Consider the following 20,378-nt stretch of genomic DNA (forward strand, 5'->3'; position numbering starts at 1 on the left):
TAAAGACTCACTTTAAAAATCTTTTGTCAAAAATAAAAAATTAAAATGTACTGGGAACAAACTATTAAAATATATCTTCTTTATGCTCTAATCCTCATCAATTACTTTTATCAACTCATAAATTCAGGATACATTGCTAACCAATTTTCTCAAAACACCGTAATAACATTTTCCACAACACAGTTTTTTTTCTTTTTAAATCCAAATGGAATGACTATCAACCTTTCATTCATGTAATATAAATGAAATTTTGGTTATTTTCACTGTAATTTTAGACATTCATAAATCTCTACTTAGCATTTCTCTTTGGTAATTTAAGATATTTTATCAAAAATATTATTTAAAAAATTTTTTCCAAGGAAAAGAGGAGGAAAAAAAAGTCCTAAAATTAGAGATGTTTTACTTGTAATTTAAATCTTGCTGAGACTTTTGGCTTGGTGTCCTCAAAAGAAAAAAAAAGCCCCTTTACAATGGATACGATAGCAAAGCGGCCAAAAAATGTTAGACTTGAATATTAAGGGTGTGGTGTTTTACTTTATTTTCCCTTACCCTGAGATCTCTAGAAATCATTTCCAAAGATAAAATTCTGATTAAACTATAATATCTCAAGCAGATCTAACAGAAGATCCAATACAAATAATAATTGCACTTATTGCGCTTGACCCATTACATTTTACTTAAACTTTAAAGATATGATAATCCCAGCACTTTGGGAGGCTGAGGCAGGCGGATCATGAGGTCAGGAGATCTAGACCATCCTGGCCAACATAGTGAAACCACATCTCTACTAAAATACAAAAAAATTAGCCAGGCTTGGTGGCACATGCCTGTAGTCCCGGCTACTCAGGAGGCTGAGGCGGGGCAATCACTTGAACCTGGCAGGTGGAGATTGCAGAGAGCCGGGATTGCACTATTGCACTCCAGCCTGGCGACAGAGCGAGACTCCGTCTCAATATATATATATAAGTGTGTGTGTGTGTGTGTGTATATATATATATATATATGTGTGTGTGTGTGTGTATCTATATATATGTGTGTATATATATGTGTATATATGTGTATATATATGTGTGTATATATATGTGTATATATGTGTATATATATGTGTATATATGTGTATATATATGTGTATATATATATTTAATTAGCTACCTGTGCATATTTTAAATACATCAAATACAATATTTACTTGTAAATTGCTTGATTTGAAATAAAGCATTTTCCTATGCTTAAATTTTAAACTTACTTAGAGGGAAAAAAAGATACTAGAGCTCTACCCTAAAAGGATCAGCAGTGAACATGTTTAGAACTGCATGTACTGGCCTGTAACAATTTACTTTAAAAACCACCAAAGCCAGTGCAGTAACACATGCACCTGTAGTCATAGCTACTCAGGAGGATCATTTGGGCCCAGGAGCTCAAGTCCAGCCTGAGCAACACAGTGAGATTCCATTTCTAAAAGTCTGGAAAGTCTCTAGAATCACTAATATGTATGCCTTTGGTCAATTATCTATTGCCACAACAACTGACCATCGGAGAACCTAATCAGAAGAGGATACCAACTGGTAAGCTTTATATGAGCAAACCGTGAAAAGAAACTGAACCCCAGAAAAAAGGTACCATGTAGGTCCAGGAAAGATCTCTACCCTAACTGTGTGCCCTAGAGAGCCCATTCTTCATTTTAAAGGAAAATAGACTTTTCCACCTAACCTCTCCATTGAAGACTTTTCAAAACCAGAGTCTAAGCCAAAGAGAAGCAAACACCTGAAGATATAAGACATTTATTGTATAGTTTCTTAAATGCACCTCCCACCAGCAATTAAAATAGTGAACAACATCTTGATGAATGGAATACATAAGACTTAGAAAGTCTCAACCAGCAAGGCTGAAACATGACTAGTTCTGAATTTCTGGCTGGCAAATAGCCGCAGTATATAGTTATCCCCTGAATTTCATGATTTTCAAAAGCTTTCAAGTTGGAGTTTTAAGTTTCCTGTTGGTTATCTTTAGGGTAGATGAACATTTTAAGAAACTTCACAGAAATAAGAGATAACTATGCTTTACTTTAAAACCCAAATTTCCATAATTTTTTCTCTCTTTACAATATCAAAATTTATCAATATGTCAACATTACTTTTAAGTACTTTATTTCTTAAGAGCCATGGGAAAGTAATCTATGAGGAGTATTTGTCCCATGTAAACCCACAAACTGGAAAATATTATAAGCAAAACAAGTGAACAGTAACTCAATATAGAGAAAAATAGGCAATACCCTTTTTGAGAAAGCAAATTCTCAAAAATATTTAGAAGACAGTTTAAAGTTTAGCAAAAAAGAACATCTAAGCCCTTTATCAGACACTCTGAATTAAAGACTCAATTGCCCAAAATATTTTGAAAGAATATCAAATGGTAGAATTAGTGATTTGATAGTTACTTAGTAATACAAAATACTTTCTTATATATGAAAGCTTCAACTACATCATGACAAGCAAGTAAGTTTATTTATTTTTCTCTGATCTAAACTACCAGATTAGCTAGTAGCTGGAAATAATTGACAGATGTGAAAACTTCTCTGTAAAACAGTTTTCTAAATAACATATCTGTGCTGAAACTGAAATAGGTAATAAATACTTAAGATTAAGCATTCTGAGATGTGCAACTGACTCTGAAGCTAGCAACTTCTAAATAGTGTTTGTTTGCCTTTGAGGTGTTTTGGTTTTAAATTCTTTCTGTCCTGTAAACTATCAGGTTTTTTATTTTTTTATTTTTTTAAATTAAAACTACAGTCACCAGTTCCATCAGGTCATAGCCTATAGGAGGAAAGTATAATCTCTTTGTTCCATCACTATATTTTTACCTTCAGGATCTGACCATGAATTTATTTAATTATGAACAAATATTTATTGAGCACCTACAACAAATGAGATGAGAAAAATAAGAGATAAGTAAGAAGAAATATATTTTAACAGGGTTTCACCTAATAAGAAATCACTAAAATGTATCTCAATTAAAAGGTTTAAAAAGATATATGGTTAAAATATTTATCATATCTTTTGTTCTCATTTCTTTTGCTTTTTAATTATTTATTTACTTTGCTCTCAAAGTAAATAAATATTCGAGAATTTACCTATCCCTATTTTCAGGGTTGAATTAAATTCTATAATACATTCTTAAATAATCAGCTGTAGCAGTAACCTTGAAAAATAGAAATAAAGAAGCATTTTAAAATTCTTTTAAAGAATGCATAAAATTAATTCGGAGAGAAAAGATGAAAAATGATATTATTCTACATCAGATAATTGGTTCATAAATATTTTTATATTGTCATCTATTCCTATCTGTGGGAAAAACCAGTTGTAGAGTAAGTTGTTTAATGTCTATCTCAGCCAGCCATCTGCCTGTAAGCATCAAGGGATGAGGAAGGACAGGACTGGTCTGTTCTGTTTATCAGAGTGTTTCCCAAGCGCTTGCCACAGTGCTTGGCCCATAGCAGGTGCTCAATAAATATGCATTGAATGAATATCCATAGGCCATCTTTTCCATTCTCTTGCTATCAGAAGAAAGGGTCTACTGCTGCTCTGCTAATCACTCAGATTGTCTGTCTCTTTCTGTGTATAGAAACAAACAACAACAACAACAACAACAACAGTTCTGTCTATGTACTCTCCCTCCTTGGGGAAAAAGAGCTTTAGTGCCATAGCTCTAAAAATCTTTCCCCACAGAAGGGTTTTAAACTTCCTTTTCGTAAAGGCTTGGCTGTGAAGGGAAGACCAAGAATCAGCACAAATTCATTGGGAGATACATAGTTAATCTCTGCGGGTGCATAACCTTCTAGGTTAGGCAGTCTCTGACCCATTTGTTATTCAACCAGGAATTTCCATGGTTGAAGACTTCCATTATAAAGTCTTTAGAAAGTCCCAAACATTTCTAATCCCTGGGTTCCACACTATCTACCAAAATCAAATCCCCTGAATTTAGATAGGAATTACAATAGAAACCACTACCAGACTTCCTCATTATGGTCCCTAAGCGCCAATGAGCCCTTATCACTGTGACTTTCTGTTTATTCACATTTAGAATGTCCTTTACAATTCATTCTCTAGAGATTCACAACTTACCTAACATTTGCTTATTGCTCCACATTTTAAAAAAAATCTTGATACAGTATCTCTTTTGATCATCACAATGACCTCAGTACTTAGTCAAAGAAGTTATTTTCCCAATTTGCCAAATAAAAAGTAGGCATAGAAAGGTCACAAGTCTAGTAAGTATCAGAGCTGAGTCTTTTATCTCTAAGTTAAGATGTTTTAAAAAAGATGACTTAATGTACGAATCACAAACTAGTAACCTTCTTAAGTGTCTCAACACAGTTCTTTTATAAACCAAAATTAATTTAAATGTGCGTAAGCAAGCTACGTCATAGGCCCCCATGCTGTATGGTATTTTACCAAACCCTTCCCACATTCATATTACTATCTGATCATTAAAATTGTTTGCACTGTGATCCCATCAAATGGAACAGTCATTCATTCATTCATCCATCCATTTGTTCGCGAAACACAGTTGTAGTCACTATCTGAGGTACTAGGAATCAATCTTAAGTTCCATAAGACATACTCACTGACCTCAAAAAGTTTTTAGGCTAGTAAGGGAATCACATAAGCCCATCTGGACAAAAAGGGTAACAAATAGAGGAACACACAAAACGCCAGCCAAGCATAAAGGTCAAATATTTAAATCAGTATGTGAGGATCAGATCATAGAAGGTAATCTATATGGCTAGTATGTCTCCATTGCCTCTCTCACTTTGGTTTTCAAATGGCATTCCAGAGTGCAGCTTTCAAAATTTAAATTCCATGTCCTTATTAACATTCCATCATATGGAATGATAAGTTTAGATTTCACTTCAGATTAATCTCAATTCATTACAGATTCATGTTAAACACTGGTAACTACGTTTTGGAGGAAAGCTTAAGGCTATAATTCTACCATAAATTTTAAATTTTTTAAACAGATATTCAATATATAACAAAAAAGGCAGATAAGAGAGATGCCTTATTTCTGATCAACAAAAAAAATTATATTCTATTTTATAGCTAGATTATAGCCACTTCAAATGTTTTAACACCACATGGACCGCTGTTTCTAAGTACATATAGTCTTATTGTATCAAACTCAGTGAATGTGAAAAGCCACATAACCAAAATGTACCCAAAGGGAACACATCAAGTTTTCTATACATTGCCTAATACTCACTAAGCCTCTGAATGTAAAAAAACTGAATTATATTTTTTAACTATTTGTTGATTTGTGAAAGGGGCTCTGGCTCAACTACAACATAAAAAAAAGTTTGGATTTGACATCTTGGAGTTTCTACCAAAAACCCTAATCCAGTCCAAGACTGTCAAAACTGTCAAAAACAAAACTGTACTAGTTTTGTATTCGTCTTTAAACTCCTAGCCTCACGAATCAGCATGTATAGGAAAAGAACATGTAATGAAGGTGCTAATTATTCTGTTATACACCTTGAGCTGTTCTCAGTATATCAGTTAAGATACTTTTGGCTGAATTAAAAAAAAATCTAATTCAAGATAGTTTAAATCATAGAAGTAATGTTGAGATATAGTTTTAACACAGAGGCTCTGATTCTCATTCATTTTCTCAGCTTTGCCCTCTCGTTTCCCCCATGTGTCAGTTTTATCCTTGGGCCTACCCTTCCTGGACACAAGATGGCTACATTTGCTACATTCTCCCTAGTTTATGTCTAGGGAAAATAGGGACTATCCAACATCCTGAAGATCAAACAAAACTCCTAAGGATTATTTTGACTAGACAATCTTGCTTCATTCATTCTTTCAACAAGTATTGATCACCTACTCTGTGTCAAGTACATTTTTTGGCACTGGGAATACAGACTGAACAAAACAGAGTCTCTATCCTTATGGAGCTTGAGTTCTTGTAACCATTCATTAATCAATCAGTGAGACAGGATTGATTTACCTCCATTGATTTACCTCCTGGGCCTAGGATTAGGGACAATCCCAGTCAAACCACATGGCTACTACACAATACTGTGAAGAATAGAATGAATGCTGGTGTGACAACAGCAATGTTTACTACTCTTACCTATAAATATTTTGGTGATGGGTATTGATAATCAGTTAGATTAATTCATACACAGTTCTATATGAGTTGAGAAAAGATATGCATACAGAAGTGGTTTATACAGAGATAAGCTATACTTTGGGGAGAGTGGAAGTAATAATGCCTTGCAGTTGTAAAGTGGGCCACAGATCCCAGCCACATTCAGCATGATGAGACTTCTGTGCTACCCAGATGCTACTGAAATGCCAACCACCTAACAAAAATTAGCCATGCCAATGTTTTTGCCACCATAATTAGTACCAGGAAATATGTTTAAAAAACTTTTTTATAACAATATGTTTTTGGAAAGTAAAATATCATCACACTCCATACCAAGACTACAGAATGTCCTAGTTCCCATTAGTCTCTTCCATGGACACTGCCTTCATCTGTGAATTTAGTCCTGCAGATATCCACTAAGGAGACCTGAATGGGGATGGCCATTTCAATCTAAGCCCATTAAAACAACCAGAAAAAAAATGCATGTCATATTTATAGTGAGAAGTCTCTGAAATAAAGATAGAGTATATTATGTTTACAAATGACCTATCACATTACTTGTTTTTAGCTCTGCCTTACCAGAATCAGTAGTGGTGTTTACTTAACACCAAACTGTAAGGCTAAATCACTAAAAATAAGATCCCAGAGATAGGGTATTAGAAGAATCACACTCAGTGTGTCTTGCAGTGGGCATGAACTAAATAACCAAGTAACTGCCCGATTCAGTAAATATGAGTTCTCAAGGAAATCACCTCCAGCTTAAGTGAAAATGCTCATATGGAAGGCAGCACTGAAGGTAGGCTTTAAAGGTTGAAGGAAGATGCATAGAAGAATTAAGGAGACAGGTTTGGGAATTTGCAAATATTTTTATTGGTTGGAGTAAGCAGATTATCAACAGTAGCAATTAGCCAACTGTTAACAAATGTTTGAAAAATTCAGAATTGGAAGATTTAAAATAGTAACACTTGATCTTTGTAATTTCAACAATTTTGTGGAGTAGTTTTGCTTTAGGAGATGAGTGTCATTGTTTTGCTCTTATTTTCCAAGCTCTGAAAAATAACATTAAATATATGTCTTATTTTGTTAGACTTGGATTCATACTCTGAGCTGGAGTCAGTTAACTTCTCATAAGACAATATTGATTAGCTTTGAAAAAGGAACTCCTGCTAGTCTAGAGACCAGAATTCAGCTACAACTTCATTTTCACAAATAAACTATGACATGGTGGTACTCCAACAGGAATATAACCTGAAGAAAAACTTCTCTGGAAGACTGTCAGAACTAAGATTTCAAAGCTGGCTTGAGAAAAACTCCTGAAAATCTGTCAACAGAGTTTTAGTCCTAAAAGCCAGAAAGATTTTCAAAGGGTAATGATATCTTACTTTTATGACCCTTATCTCCCCAAAAGATGGGGAAACTGAGGCTCAGAAAGTTATGTGATTTCCCCACGGTCACAGAGCTAAAAACCAAAGGGGCTGAAATGAAAACACAGGTCGGTAGATTCCAACTCTAAGACCTTTCACTTCAGCATTCTGCCTTTCTAAGAAACAAGAAGTTGAGAAAAATTGAGGAAATCAGAAATAAAATATGTGACAAATGCCAGTAGAAATCAATAGCTCATATAAACAGGTCTGTGATTATGGTGAGGCAAAATGAGGAGCAATCTTCTCTATAAGAAAAGCACAACACAGACTTAGTCCAAAACCCAAGATTAAACAGAAAACAATTAAAACGGCAATGTTTCCTCGGGGTAAAAAGCATTAAATTAATTCAATCGAATAATTTATCCTTTCTCTCCTGATATTTTCCAGCAATGTATAAAGGAAGAAAATTATACGTTGATCTCTAAAATTATCAGAGATAGTAACTAAATTTAACTTTATGGTAATTCTTGTAAGTGCTAAAACATCTTAACATCTAAATTTTTTACTCTAAATTCCCAAAACTTTCCATAGACAAAAACTTTCAACTTTTTAACAAGAAAGTCTGCTAAACAGTTTATCCCCAATTTGTCTGTATGAAAAACAAACTCAGCTTTGCAGTTTGGGGATAATTAATCCCCAAAGCTAGCAAATATATGGTGGAAAAACAGCAAATACTGACTTCAGTAATATATTGCCTTGAAAGATAGTATCTGTAGAATCCTCCTTCCTCCCCTAATCATCTAAAAGTTTTCCATAATAAAAATATAAAATTATTATGTAGGAAAGTGAGAGGGAAAGGTTAGAGGAAAAGAGCTGTTCAGGTTTTAAAATCCAACAAACTAAAAAACTAGCCCCAATACTGTACCCAATCACCACTCTTTCAACAGATTCTACAACAGACCAAAGGAATAATTATGATGCAAGACTCAAAACAATCCAGCAGATGTTTTAGGAACACCAAGTTAAACCCATCCCCTCCTCATACCTGAAAAAGTACAGAAGGTATAGGTTATCTCAAGAGCCATAAATTAATTCCCGATAGCCTTGTGGGGGTAATTTGCTTTCATTCCACACAAATGACTTTAAGATTCAACTTTAAGATTTTTATAACATACACAAGGTATTGTGATCATCTGATACTTTACTAATTCATATACAAAGTATTGTGATACATTACAAAGTGTTGTGATATATATACTTTACTAATTCATATACAAAGTATTGTGATCATCTGATACTTTACTATTTTAATGCCTTTAAGATTTTTAAAACATACACAAAGTATTGGGATCATCTGATACTTTACTAATTCAAAGTCCAGGGGGTAGATAAAAATCATTAAAGAATTACAGGGATGAGCTAGTTGTATTTTTGTCAGTCTCCTTAAAAGATTGAGAATTTTCTGAGAACAAGGACCACCCATGTCTTATTCTTTGTATCCCCAGTTCCTGGTACATAGTAGGTGCTCAATACATACTTGATTAATTAAATTCACAAAGATGTATATAGTTTTCTTTTGATAATCATTGACACTCATTTGAAGATGCCTTTTTGTACTGATGTAACTGCAAAATTTTTTTAAGAAAATGAATCAAATTAATTATTCTTCCAATCCCACGTTTTATAAGAGTATAACTAAGAACTAAATATGTGTAGGAGAAGGCATTAGACCTTAAAGAGGCACATAGAAAACTCATATAGAAGTCCAGATTGACTAAATCAGGTTTATTATTTTATCCATTAGTCTAAGCAGATTAATTGGAACCAGACATGTGAAGATCCATAAGGTTTTTTAGTAACAATTACTTAAAAAGAAATTTATAGGCTACATTTCAACACATCCAAATTAACAGTTTAAGAAAAATGTAGATCCTGATAAATATTTAAAAGTGTATATAGGCAAAAATGTTATGATACTCATTCTCTTTTTATAACCATACTTATTACACAGTTAACAAGGTACTCAATTCCAAATGATTTGTATAAATAATGTCAATTATCCACATTACCATGAATATATTTTATTTAGAAATTACACCAAAACAAAAATTTGTTTTCTTAAATAAACAAACAGAATGACGATACATCCCTAAGTAGTTATTTAATAGACACACCTTAACCACAGCATCTGATTAATGAGCAATAAAAGCAGTCTGTCCAGGTAACAACTAAAAGAATGTGACAACCTGGTTTTGGTAGATCGCAAAGAAAACTTATTTGTCAATTGAAAAATACTGATCTAGGAATAAGTGGCAGAAGCTTATTAAACCAAATGTCAAGGTTGATATTTCTAGACTTATAACTAAAATATCATGAGAAATTGCCATTTTTTAAGTTTTATACTGGGGTACACATATTGGATGTAAACAAAATAGGTCAATCTATCAACCAAAGTGTTCCATTCTAGAAAAGATATTTGAAATACACAGCCAATATTTGCTTTTTCAAGCCAATTCCTGCCTTGCAGTTATTCCACTGTTAGATATAAGCTTAGCCATCAAGCATAGATGCTTGAACATTTTTTGAATTACCACAAATGGCCTTAAGGTTGTTAGCTTTTGATAATATAATGCAAAACCCCTGAGTAGCCACAAAATTAAAAAAAAATACCACTTTAGGTAGACTCAGTGCTTATTTGTGTTACATTTAATATATGCTTAATATGATCCCATTACAATGTTATTCTATTTTAAAAGTCAATTATTACACCTTTGGAATAATGTCAAAAATATAAATTCCAAGTTTAATATAATGAAGAAATACACAAATTATCAGAATTATACATTAACTCCCAATAGCCACATCCAAGTTCTGTGTGCGTGTGTGTGTGTGTGTGTGTGAGAGAGAGAGAGAGAGAGAGAATTGTTTATTTGGGTTATTTTATTTTAAAGTTTTGTTTTGTTTCCAAATATTTTTCCTGTACTGTTTTAATAGTTCCTCCCACCCAACACTTAGCTCAACTGCTTTTGACCTATGTGAATGTGTTTCTGATGTCTGCCAGTCAATACAGAAGCGTAATTTCATTAAAATATATTATATATGCTCAGGACTGAGAGAACATTATAAAATGAAGTTTGGCTAAAGTTCAACAGGGCATCAAATAGCACTGGCAAGAATTTTCTTAGATGGTGTAAAATCTTGCTAACACAACAGTGTGTGCTTAACACAGGAACAATATCAGAAACAGATGTGTTCCAAATGACCAAAGTACCAAACAGAAACAATAATCATGGAATATACATTTAAAAACAATACCCTTGCCAACTGGGAAAAAAAAAATTTAAGTGCATGTCTTTGTCAAATAAGAAATGCTACTGATATTTTTCCAGACTAAACTTGGCATACAAATATTTTCCCTTTTGCATTCTCTTATATATTGGCATTAAACTTCTATGAGGGTGGCCAAAATTAATGATATAATTATTAATACATGTTAAAAGAAACTAATCATAGGAAAAGGAAATAAGTCCTTGATTTAACCTAAGAAATTCAGAGGATCTAAGGCCTTCTATCCATCATTTGGAAGGGAAAACATTCTCAGCCCAGAAGAATCTCACAGGCGCGCGCGTAGGTAGACACACACACACACACACATACACACACACACACACACTCCTTTTACCTTTTAAAAGGGCTGTATACTCGTGCGTGGTCAGTTACATGTATTTGCCCAAGCATTACACCATAGTATTAAAAGTTCTAAGGACCAAGGGCTATGGCTGGCACAGGAACTAAAGCCAAGTAGAAGAAACTCGAATCCCCGAGGAAGCCCTCCCAGAGGCTGAAATCGCAGGCCTCCAGGGTGATGGTCAGGCCCAAGGCCCCTAGCGCCTGGCCCCTCCAGGGCTACTGCCTGCCCGCCTAGACGCCGCGCCGAGGAAGGCAGGCGGCGAAGCCACTCCGAAACGACAGCGGCCTCACCCGGCCGTATCGCTCCCTCCAGCCTTTCTTGCCGACTCGGGCATCCGGAGCCTGTCCACCTCACGGGACAGCTCAGGCACATGTCTGTTCTGACCTAGTTAGGCCTTGCCCCCGTGGCCTTGTTGTTTGTTGCTGGCTTCTGTTGTGGTTTTTCCTCTCATTTTCACAGCGTTCTGTGGGGTGCTCGAATGTGCACAGCGGGACTTCTGAAGTGTTGGACAAGAATTACCTACCTATTTACCAGTAGATACGGCTGAGGGAAGGAGGGCTTGGGCCTTGAGTCTCCTTCAGGCTCTCCTTCTCAGGAAAGAAAGGTCTTATCCTCTGGAAGACCGATCTGATTCCAGGAGAAGAATGTTACCCATGTGAAACCCAAGCCTCTGCCCTGGGGTTTCCCACGGAAAAGGATGCGAGGAGGGCGGCGGTCAAACCCACCAGGGCGAGGCGAGGAGCCTGTCTCAGGGCCTGGCCTTGGGTAGGCGTCCAGGCTCTCGGAGCCGCGGCCACCCACACCGACTTTGGATTAGTGATGAGGAAGGGCGGGGGAGAGGATCACACAGGTCCTCCACCTGCTTTCTGAACAGAGCTTGTTTCCGGGGCACCCGCTCTCGTCGCCCAGCCCTGCGCCCAAATGCGTCAGTGCCTCCCGGAGTGCACCGCGCGGTGGGGATGCTCCCAACATGCACTGGGGCTGGAGAACTGGGGCCTGAAAGCCGTGGGGACCTGCCTGACTCCAGGGCGTTTCTCTCGAGGTCGCTTTCGAAGGCAGGCGCCAGCCCAGGCCTCCGGGAGAGAGAAAGGGCCTCAACTCCCAATGGTGGCGCCCTGCGGGCCTCCGCCTCGCCTCGGGCGTTGGGGTGTTACCAAGGAAAAGCAACAATATTTATGACCAGCAGGCGATGAGAAAGTGTTCGCCCATCACGCGATCCATCTCGCTCCCCTGGCTGATTGCCATCCTGGAGACCATCCAACCACCCCCCGGTACCCCCGCCCCCATCCCAGGCCCAGGCTCCACACGTGCCTAACTCCATTTCCGCCTGACTCCATTTCCACCTAACTGACCCGGCGCAGTACTCAGGTCCCTCAAGACTCGCCGCTCCTACCCCGCCCCCAGTCCCGCCATCCTCAAGGTCTTCTAAGAGAATTCTCACTTCTATTATAATACTTCAGGAGACTGGGAGGAGCCACACAGCCAACCTGCAAGGGCGCAAAATATTCTTTACATGCAGCACAATGGTTAAGACCTTGTAATGAGTTTAGGTTCAGCCTCTGTCTCTAATTTGTCGTGAGAATGTGGGACACCTCTCTGAGCTTCAGGTTCCCCATCTGTGAGTCAGGCATAATAATACCTACTTCACAGAAGATTGTGAGGAATACATATGACAACATATGTAAAAGCCGGGCAAAGCTAAACAATACATGTTACTTCTTATAAAAGGATGCAAATTCATCTCTAGAAATACAGTCTTTTTAGGAAAAAAGTTGTCTCAGCCTGGGAGGAAGGGTGGTTTAAAGAAGCAGGAATTCTGGCTTAGTTTACTGCCTGCTTTTTTTCTGTATCCTGACCTCTAAAAGACAGATTTACATGTATTAATCCAGGTTTTTTTTTTTTAAATGCAAGAGGTTCCTCCCCACACACAATACCCCGAAACTACCGAAGCAGGGCAGAAGTATTCTGAAGGAGAGGAGGGGAAAGAAACCTTAAAAAGGCATCGTATGTATTAAAAGCTTCAAAAGAAACTGCCGCCTATTTATTTCTTCCCAAAACTTTGAGATGCAAAAACAATAATGATGCAAACTGTAAAGAGCTTAGCCACATCAGGGTGTTATTACTGAAAGTTGGAACAACCTAAAGACTCCATTTAAAATTAATAGTAATAATAATAAACACCTGTCGGAGGCCCTTCTGAGGAAGGGGGGTGGTATTTGAGGGAAATAAATGGGATTAATCACTTCTGAAACAATTTTTGCCGTGTTTCTAAGCCTACAGCAGCTATAGCTGAGTTCGCAAATCTTCTTGGTGTGTCTGCCAAGAAGACACACCAAGTCTTAAGAAACCTAGTGGTTTCTCCCTTAGCGCTGAGTAATTTCAATATCGCAAGCGCTGGTAAAACCATTCCAGTTTGCATGGTCTCTTCCAGCCCTTTTTCAGGACTTTGGAATCCCAGCCAATTCCTAGACAAGGGCCTGTTTCTGCTTGGATGGACTGTGACTGGGGAGAGACTAGGCCCAGCCACCAAGGCACCCAGGGCACACTACTGTGATCCGCTGTAGAGTGGGACCTGTCGTACTCAAGAATGAAGACTCCATCTACTGCCCTCGCGTCTCCTCCGTGTTCTTCCTCCTCTTTGTGGACTGTAAACGAAGGTGTATCTCCTTTCTAGGCCAGAGAGGATGGCGTGCAGCAGCGCCTGGCTCCAAATGACCTCAGCTCCCATTCTGACTGTCCATCTTGGGTCCTCTTTTTACCCTGAAGCAAGCCAAAACCTACATCAATGTCTGGCCATCACACACAGCATTTCCAAGTGCGCGTCCAGAGTCTGTCTATGGGGGCTTGCCCCAGGCTTGGCTTCTCCTATCCAACACATTCCTACTGGCCGCCCCTCCCCGCCCCCAGAGCCTCCTGTATAAACAGAGGCTCTGACTCAGTTGGTCTCTTAGGCACTCAGAGTAGGTTTCCCAATTTAATTGCAAACGCTGAGGTCTGAAGGACTCGCAGGAGGGAAGAACTCAAATGAAGCATAATGCCTGAGGATCCCTTGGAGGTTATAAGCTTATAAGCCTCTGTTATAAGACAAAATAGCAAAGTAATTAAAAGTCAGCCCTCCGTGTCGGATGTCTGGGTTTGAATTCTGACCTGGCTTGGTAAAATATGACTTTGGGCAAATTAAAGAAGTGAGGTTGTATATGCCACAACATCAGTGGGGCGTTTGACAAATAACAAGCCACTTGCTAATTATTATGTCAGAATTTTCATGCCCTTTCTTACCTAGCTCTTCAAGGGCTTGAAAGATGCAGGAACTGAGCAAGAAGGTACCTATGCAAAGACGTAGGAGCGCTAGAATTAAGAAGGCAGAGAAAGACATGAAACCCCCTGCGCCTGCCAGCATATACTTTCATTCAGAAAGCAATTTTTTATTGTCTAGTGCCAGGCACTGAACTAGGTTTCGGAGCGTCGTCAGAACAGCACATGGTTCCTGCATCCAGGAAGCTTGTAGAGCCTCAGGAAGAACTGCAGGGGTCGACTTTATTCAAGTTTGTGTCGGGAAAAACTATTGCTAAAGGCTTCTCCCGAGTGGTCAGTAAATGAGAAACAATAAATAGCCTTTGCACAAACTGAACCACGCAGCGCAGCCTCTGCTACTGCACACAATAACAGGAGTTCGGTCAAGGCCCAAAAGGAAAGTTCCAGAAGTGAGCGCAGACCTTTGGACCTCAGTCTGTACGGAGATCGAGTCACCGTCTATTCAATCCAGGTTTTGTTCCACTTGCTGATGATTAGACATCAAATTATGCAATCTGCAAGGAAAAGGAGAGAGAACGATTTTACCGCCGATTTAAGCGTTCTCCTTTTTCCCCTTCGTGGCCGTTTTATTCGGCACTGAAATGCTGTTTAACCTCAGCAAGAGTAGGCGTGGGAAGGTGGCGCTCTTCCCCACAGCACACCAGGCACCCCCCAGCTGCTCAGCGGAAGTGGGCAGAGGCAAGAGGCTAGCGGCTGGACCACTTGTGCTGGAGTGGTAAAGAACTATCATGAATCCATTTACTGAAAGTGTCCATTTCTGAACTCACCCTAAAGAGGACAAACACCGCAAAGTAGTTAAAAGTCAGGCATTCGCGTCGGACGTCTGGGTTTGAATTCTGCCCTGGCTTGGTAAAATAGGGCTTTGGATAAATTAAAGTAGGGTTGTGTGCCATAACGTCAGTGGGGGCATTTGACAAATAATAATCAACAGCTATGATTACTGCCATTTTCACAATATTCAGAAGGTTGTGCAAACTGACAGAAGGGTGCCAAGCATTTTTAAATGTTATAGATTAACTCTCAAATAAACCAGCGACAAAGGAGATGAAAAAGGTGTTCATTGTGCATCCTTGGGCCTAGTTGCCACGACAGAGGTGGCTACAGGCAGCTGCACTCATCTCTGGAGCCTCTGCAGCCCAGGGAGGTGCGTCTAACCTCATGACCCTCTGAACCCCTAGAAGTGGTCAACTCGCTGAAGAACATTGACCTACCCTTCACTGGGGAAATTGGGCCTTTGGTGGCTCCTCTACATCCAGACCTCTCTAGAGAGGTGAAGGAGGATGTGGTAGGAGAAACATTATGTTCACTAAGAACCTCCTGTGTGGATGAGCACTTAATTCAACATTGTGATTTTTTATGACAATTTCCAAGTGATGCCATCTTCATTTTACAAATGAGAAAGCTCAAGTGTTAAAAATTTAAATTGCTCAAAATTCCATTACATATTTTACTAACTTCAAACCTGTGCTCTTACTATAATAACACGTTGCCTACCTCTTAAACCCTGAACTCCCATGAAGGAAGGAAGGCAAGCAGGGAAGGAGGAAGGGAGAGGAGGAGGATAGGAAGGAAAGGAAGAAAACCTTGCCACAGTTACAAGAACCAGTCTCCTGTAGCAGAAATGGCATATAGAAGTTATTTAAGTTTTTAAAATTCATGGCTCAAGATTCTTGGGCCAACTTTTTTTTTGTAAAAGCATAGCTTTACGAGTTACACCGGAGGTGGAAGTGTTGCTGGGGAGAACCTTAGACACCAAAGTTGTGGGCGGTCGGCGCAGGCTTGTGTGGGGCTCATTCACCCTGGCTAACAACTTGAGCTGAGGGTTCCCTTATCAAAATGTCATCCAAGCCTGTGAATAGGAGGCTCACACAGCCCCACTTCTGCCTCTCACCTATCCCCAGAAACCGAGAAAACCATCTGGTTTTTGCACTTAGATAAAGTTTAACTTTCCTGCCACACTGGCCGAGTTGGGCTTTCAGACATCCCTGGGGAAGTGGGAAAACGGGGATGTGGAAGGGGAGGAGAAGCCTGAAGGGCCTCGGTTCCATCCTCTTTCTTGATCAGCGAACTCCAGGCTATATCTGCCCGGTTTGCCTAGGACTTGTAGGGAAACGCGGTAAAGGGAGGCGGGTAGAGAGTTGGATTCTCTCTCTCTCTCTCTGGCCACCTTGGATTTCGGCTTTTACAGAATTATGCAGGCAGAGTTCTGTAGAAAGAGGTTAGAATCAGGTTTCCATTGGTCCTGATTTGTTTATCATTCTAAACAGTAAAATGCATATAAAACCGGCACCTCCAAACCACAGGCGTGCTTAAGGCGCTATTGTCGGCTTGGAAATGTCACAATGAATAAATGGTGTGATGGACTTTAGCGTTTCGCGCCATAGCTTTTAGCCGGGAAGCTTTCCAGGCTGCCCTGCTTAATTTCGGCGTGGTTCCTAATTTTCTCTCTCCCATCCTCTCTCTTAGACTGGAAACGCTTCCCCTATTTCTTCCGTAGCGGACCGGGAGAGCTTACTGGCGCTCTGCGAACCGGCTGGAAAGAAACACCGAGTCACTCGTACAGACTCTTGGTCGCAGAACTTGGCTTTCCGCTATTGGTCCTCCAGAACCGCTTGAAACAACTGGCCCCAGCTGGCGCATCAGACCGCAGTGAGGAATGCCGCGGGGCGGGTGGCGAAGGCAGGGTCTGCCCGCCAGTGGATTCCCGGGTGTCCCGCGTGGAGCAGGCTTGCCCAGCTGGGAAGCCCATCAAACCTCAGTCTTGGCCCACAGTGGGAGAGAGACCAGTGGGTCCCAGACGGAGGCCCTCGCCCGCTTTTGGCGACCTCCACTGGCGTGAATAAAAGCACCCCTCTCTTACCCTCAGAAACTGTGGGTAGCAAGGTATAAAACGGAGTCTGGGACCGGTAAGTCCCAAGGTGAGCCCGTATACAGCTCTGCCATCTCTGAGGGGTTATGCAGATTCTGAGCAGGGTAAGTTTGTGGAAAGAACCTCTAGAAGCAATCTCCTAAAGTCTTTTTCCAGACTAATATTTATAATGGTTACACGTGATGGGCAAAAATCCAAAGACACGGTCTCCTAACCCTGAACCAAGTGTGACATCCACAGTTTCAGAGTGGTTTTAGCTGAGATTTCACCTTCAGGGATCGAAGGAGTCGCCAACCAGAATTCTGCCAGAATCCGCACCTTCTTATGATCGCGAAAGTCTCCCCATCCTCCACCGCCTCCTACAGTCCTATGGCCCACTGTACCCTTGGCGCTGGAGCCCTGGAGGTGGGCGGTGAGGGCCGCGGGCCAGGGAAAGCTCGGGTCCGCAAGAGCAGGGCTCTGTTTCTGCGCCTGCAGGCCGCCCGGGAGTCCTGGATGCGCCTCCTTTGACCACGTTTTCTCTCAGGCTCCAGCTGTGCCTCGCCCCGATCTCCACAGGTCTGACCCAGGCGAGTCCCTAGAAGGCGGGCGGGAGGAGCCGTAGCAGGGGCAGTTTCGGGAATCCGAGTTTCCGGAGATTGCCTGAGCACCGCAGAACCTCCAGGTTAAGTTCTCTCAAACGTGTGGTTACTCACCCCGAGGAGCTCAGAGGCAAAGGGTTCAATAGTCAAGTTGGTGGGGACTTTCCCTACTTAAAGTTATAATTTGCTAATTCGGATCTATTGCTTTTAAATATCGAGTTCCAGAGACCTCTGTCAATGCAGGCTTAATTTCATCCCACTGATGAAGGATGTTTATAAACGGCGCCTGCAGTGCGAGCTGAGTGTGAAAATATCAGTTTTATGCCTTTTGATAAGAATTACCGAGGCGGAAGGCTCATTAGACGATTACAAATTTCGCAGCTGCTCGCAGCCCAATTAGGCAGCTCTTCGGGTGAGTGGAAGCTGTGGGGGTCAGGGCGGGTTGATGTTCCCTCTCTCCAGCCCGGACCTCCAATCAAGGCCTGGCTCCACGGGATCTAGACCCCTTCCCTGCCCCCATCTGTTTTTAGGGAGATACACTCAAGGCTTCCCTTAAGCAGGAGAGGCACAGCCTGGGACAGGACGCACTCCGAAGTCTCTCAGGCTGTCTTTCCCATGGGCTTGCAAAAAGCCCTGTGGTCCACGGATGTTGGTAGACACCTTGGGTGGGCCTGCCGCCTCTGATTTTCAAATTTTCAATTTAGTAGGTAGGAACTGTCACGACGCAGGCGATTGCTTTTCCACCTGTGGACACATAAGATGATGTTTTTTTGATCAGAGTCTTCGTTCAAAATTGGAATCAATTGGCGTTTGGGCTAAAAACCCTCATTACTAAGACCAAACAAACAAACAAAAACTCTTTTGATTTTTAGCGCACCCCTGTAAAGTAGGAAGATAACTTTTCCGTTGCCCCAGCCGAGGATGAGCGTGGGTAAGAGGCGTGACGCGAGCTCCAGGGAACCGGGCCACCAGGAAGAAGCTATACCTTCGTACGCCCACCCCTGACAAAAGGTCAGAAGGTCGTTGGACCCCAGACCGACAGGACGATCAGCCCTGGGATTCATAGCAAACACATTCCCCTCTTCTTGCACACTCGACCCCCAGCCAAAGGCTTATACCGCCCAGGACATAGAAATTGACTCACCGCCCAGAGGCTTACAGCTCAAGGAGGGGTGCGCGCAGCTGCACCCCGGGACAGGTCAGCATCCCACAAGGCGCCTGGAGTAAAGCGAGGCCAGACCAATCTTTCACGTCTTCTGCTCCTGTCTGACGACCATTCTTCTTCCCCAAGCCCAGAAACCTCTAAAAATGAATCATTTTCTCCACTTATGCAGAGATAGACGCTCTTAGATCAAGGTTAGTATTTTGAAAACCTGACTGAGAGCCGCCTGATTAGGCGAGGGTGGGTGGAAAGACCGCATAAATGCCCGCACCCCCGCCCTGCTTCCCTAACACAGCTCCAGCTCTCTCTGGATCTCCAAATGACCCGCGCGATAAATTCTCCTCGATAGTAGCCAGACAGTACCCCAGATTCACTTTAAACCCTAACACACACACACACACACACACACACACACACTGTAATTAAATATCCAAACCGGACCTTTATGTTTAATTCCACTTTCAACGAAATCCTGCTCTATACACGACCTGATGGCGCCAATGTTCTGCACGACTCTGACTTTCCATTCGGAAGAGCGGTCTCCACAACGATGCTATTTCATGGAAAATGCATTATGTGAATTTCTCCACCACCCCCAATACCGATTTCTGCATTTGATGAAAAACACAAGTCTTTCTGGTTCCCACGCACAAGTTAGCTTTTTGAAAAGTCAGTCCACCCCAATCTTTCAATTTTCTAAGAGGGCACAGATTAATTATATCGTCCTCCTCCCTTCGCTCAGTAAATTTAAACGAGATCTCCCAGAGAGGACCGGCAGGGGGATGGCTAATATTAACTTGTGCGCAGCTGCGCGAAAAGAAAAACAATGGCGATAGGAAAATGCTCTGAAGACTCTAGTGTTTATGGGAGAAAAATGCAATGGAGGAAAAACTAAATTTGTAGTGGTAACTCGGTCCCAGACTCTTACACAGGCTCACTTCATCACAGGAAAGGCTATCTATCTCCTCCGCTAGCCGGCTGCTGACCGAGCTGGGGTCTGGGCAAGATCATTTCGCTCTTTTTCTTCTATACAAATAAGGCAAGGAGATAAGATATGTGTGTGTGCGTGTGTGTGTTTTACATATATATTTCCATCTAATTAAAGCAAAATCCTATGATTCTGTTAAAGGCCTTTAAGAAATAGACTCCTAGATCTTCTTAGTTTCAGAAGTTTAGCTTTTTAAATGGAAACAAAAATCATTTAAAAATAATCTTTTAACCAAATTTGTCTTTATACACTAAATAATGAAAT

General features: G+C 40.7%; 1 protein-coding gene and 1 long non-coding RNA gene across 2 annotated transcripts in view, besides 2 other annotated features; one reads left to right on the forward strand and one right to left on the reverse strand.

Moving 5' to 3' along the window:
* Window positions 1–14,600: 14,600 nt before the first annotated feature.
* Window positions 14,601–19,331, reverse strand: LHX8-AS1 (LHX8 antisense RNA 1). The gene is made up of 2 exons (NR_187397.1): window positions 19,109–19,331; window positions 14,601–18,708 (listed from the first exon to the last, which is right to left on the reverse strand). It is a non-coding gene; the product is annotated as an LHX8 antisense RNA 1 (long non-coding RNA).
* LHX8 (LIM homeobox 8) overlaps window positions 15,189–20,378 on the forward strand; it is a 71,021-nt gene continuing 65,831 nt past the window's right edge. Inside the window, exons 1-2 of the mRNA NM_001001933.1 lie at window positions 15,189–15,363; window positions 16,981–17,487. Coding sequence (NP_001001933.1) covers window positions 17,470–17,487 — 18 coding nt within the window. The 5' untranslated portion in view covers window positions 15,189–15,363; window positions 16,981–17,469. The remainder of the gene's footprint in view (window positions 15,364–16,980; window positions 17,488–20,378) is intronic.
* Window positions 16,985–17,185: a silencer, noted in NCBI's record as "peak288 fragment used in MPRA reporter construct". NCBI's record gives its function as "represses an SCP1 promoter by STARR-seq MPRAs in K562 erythroleukemia cells {active_cell/tissue: K562}" and the evidence as "EXISTENCE:reporter gene assay evidence [ECO:0000049][PMID:32103011]".
* Window positions 18,091–19,290: an enhancer, noted in NCBI's record as "CDK7 strongly-dependent group 2 enhancer chr1:75597021-75598220 (GRCh37/hg19 assembly coordinates)". NCBI's record gives its function as "activates an origin of replication core promoter dependent on BRD2, BRD4, P300/CBP, MED14 and CDK7 cofactors, with strong dependence on CDK7, by STARR-seq in HCT116 cells {active_cell/tissue: HCT116}" and the evidence as "EXISTENCE:reporter gene assay evidence [ECO:0000049][PMID:35650434]".

The sequence above is a fragment of the Homo sapiens genome, chromosome 1, assembly GCF_000001405.40.
Source record: "Homo sapiens chromosome 1, GRCh38.p14 Primary Assembly".
In the NCBI taxonomy this organism is placed as follows: domain Eukaryota; kingdom Metazoa; phylum Chordata; class Mammalia; order Primates; family Hominidae; genus Homo; species Homo sapiens.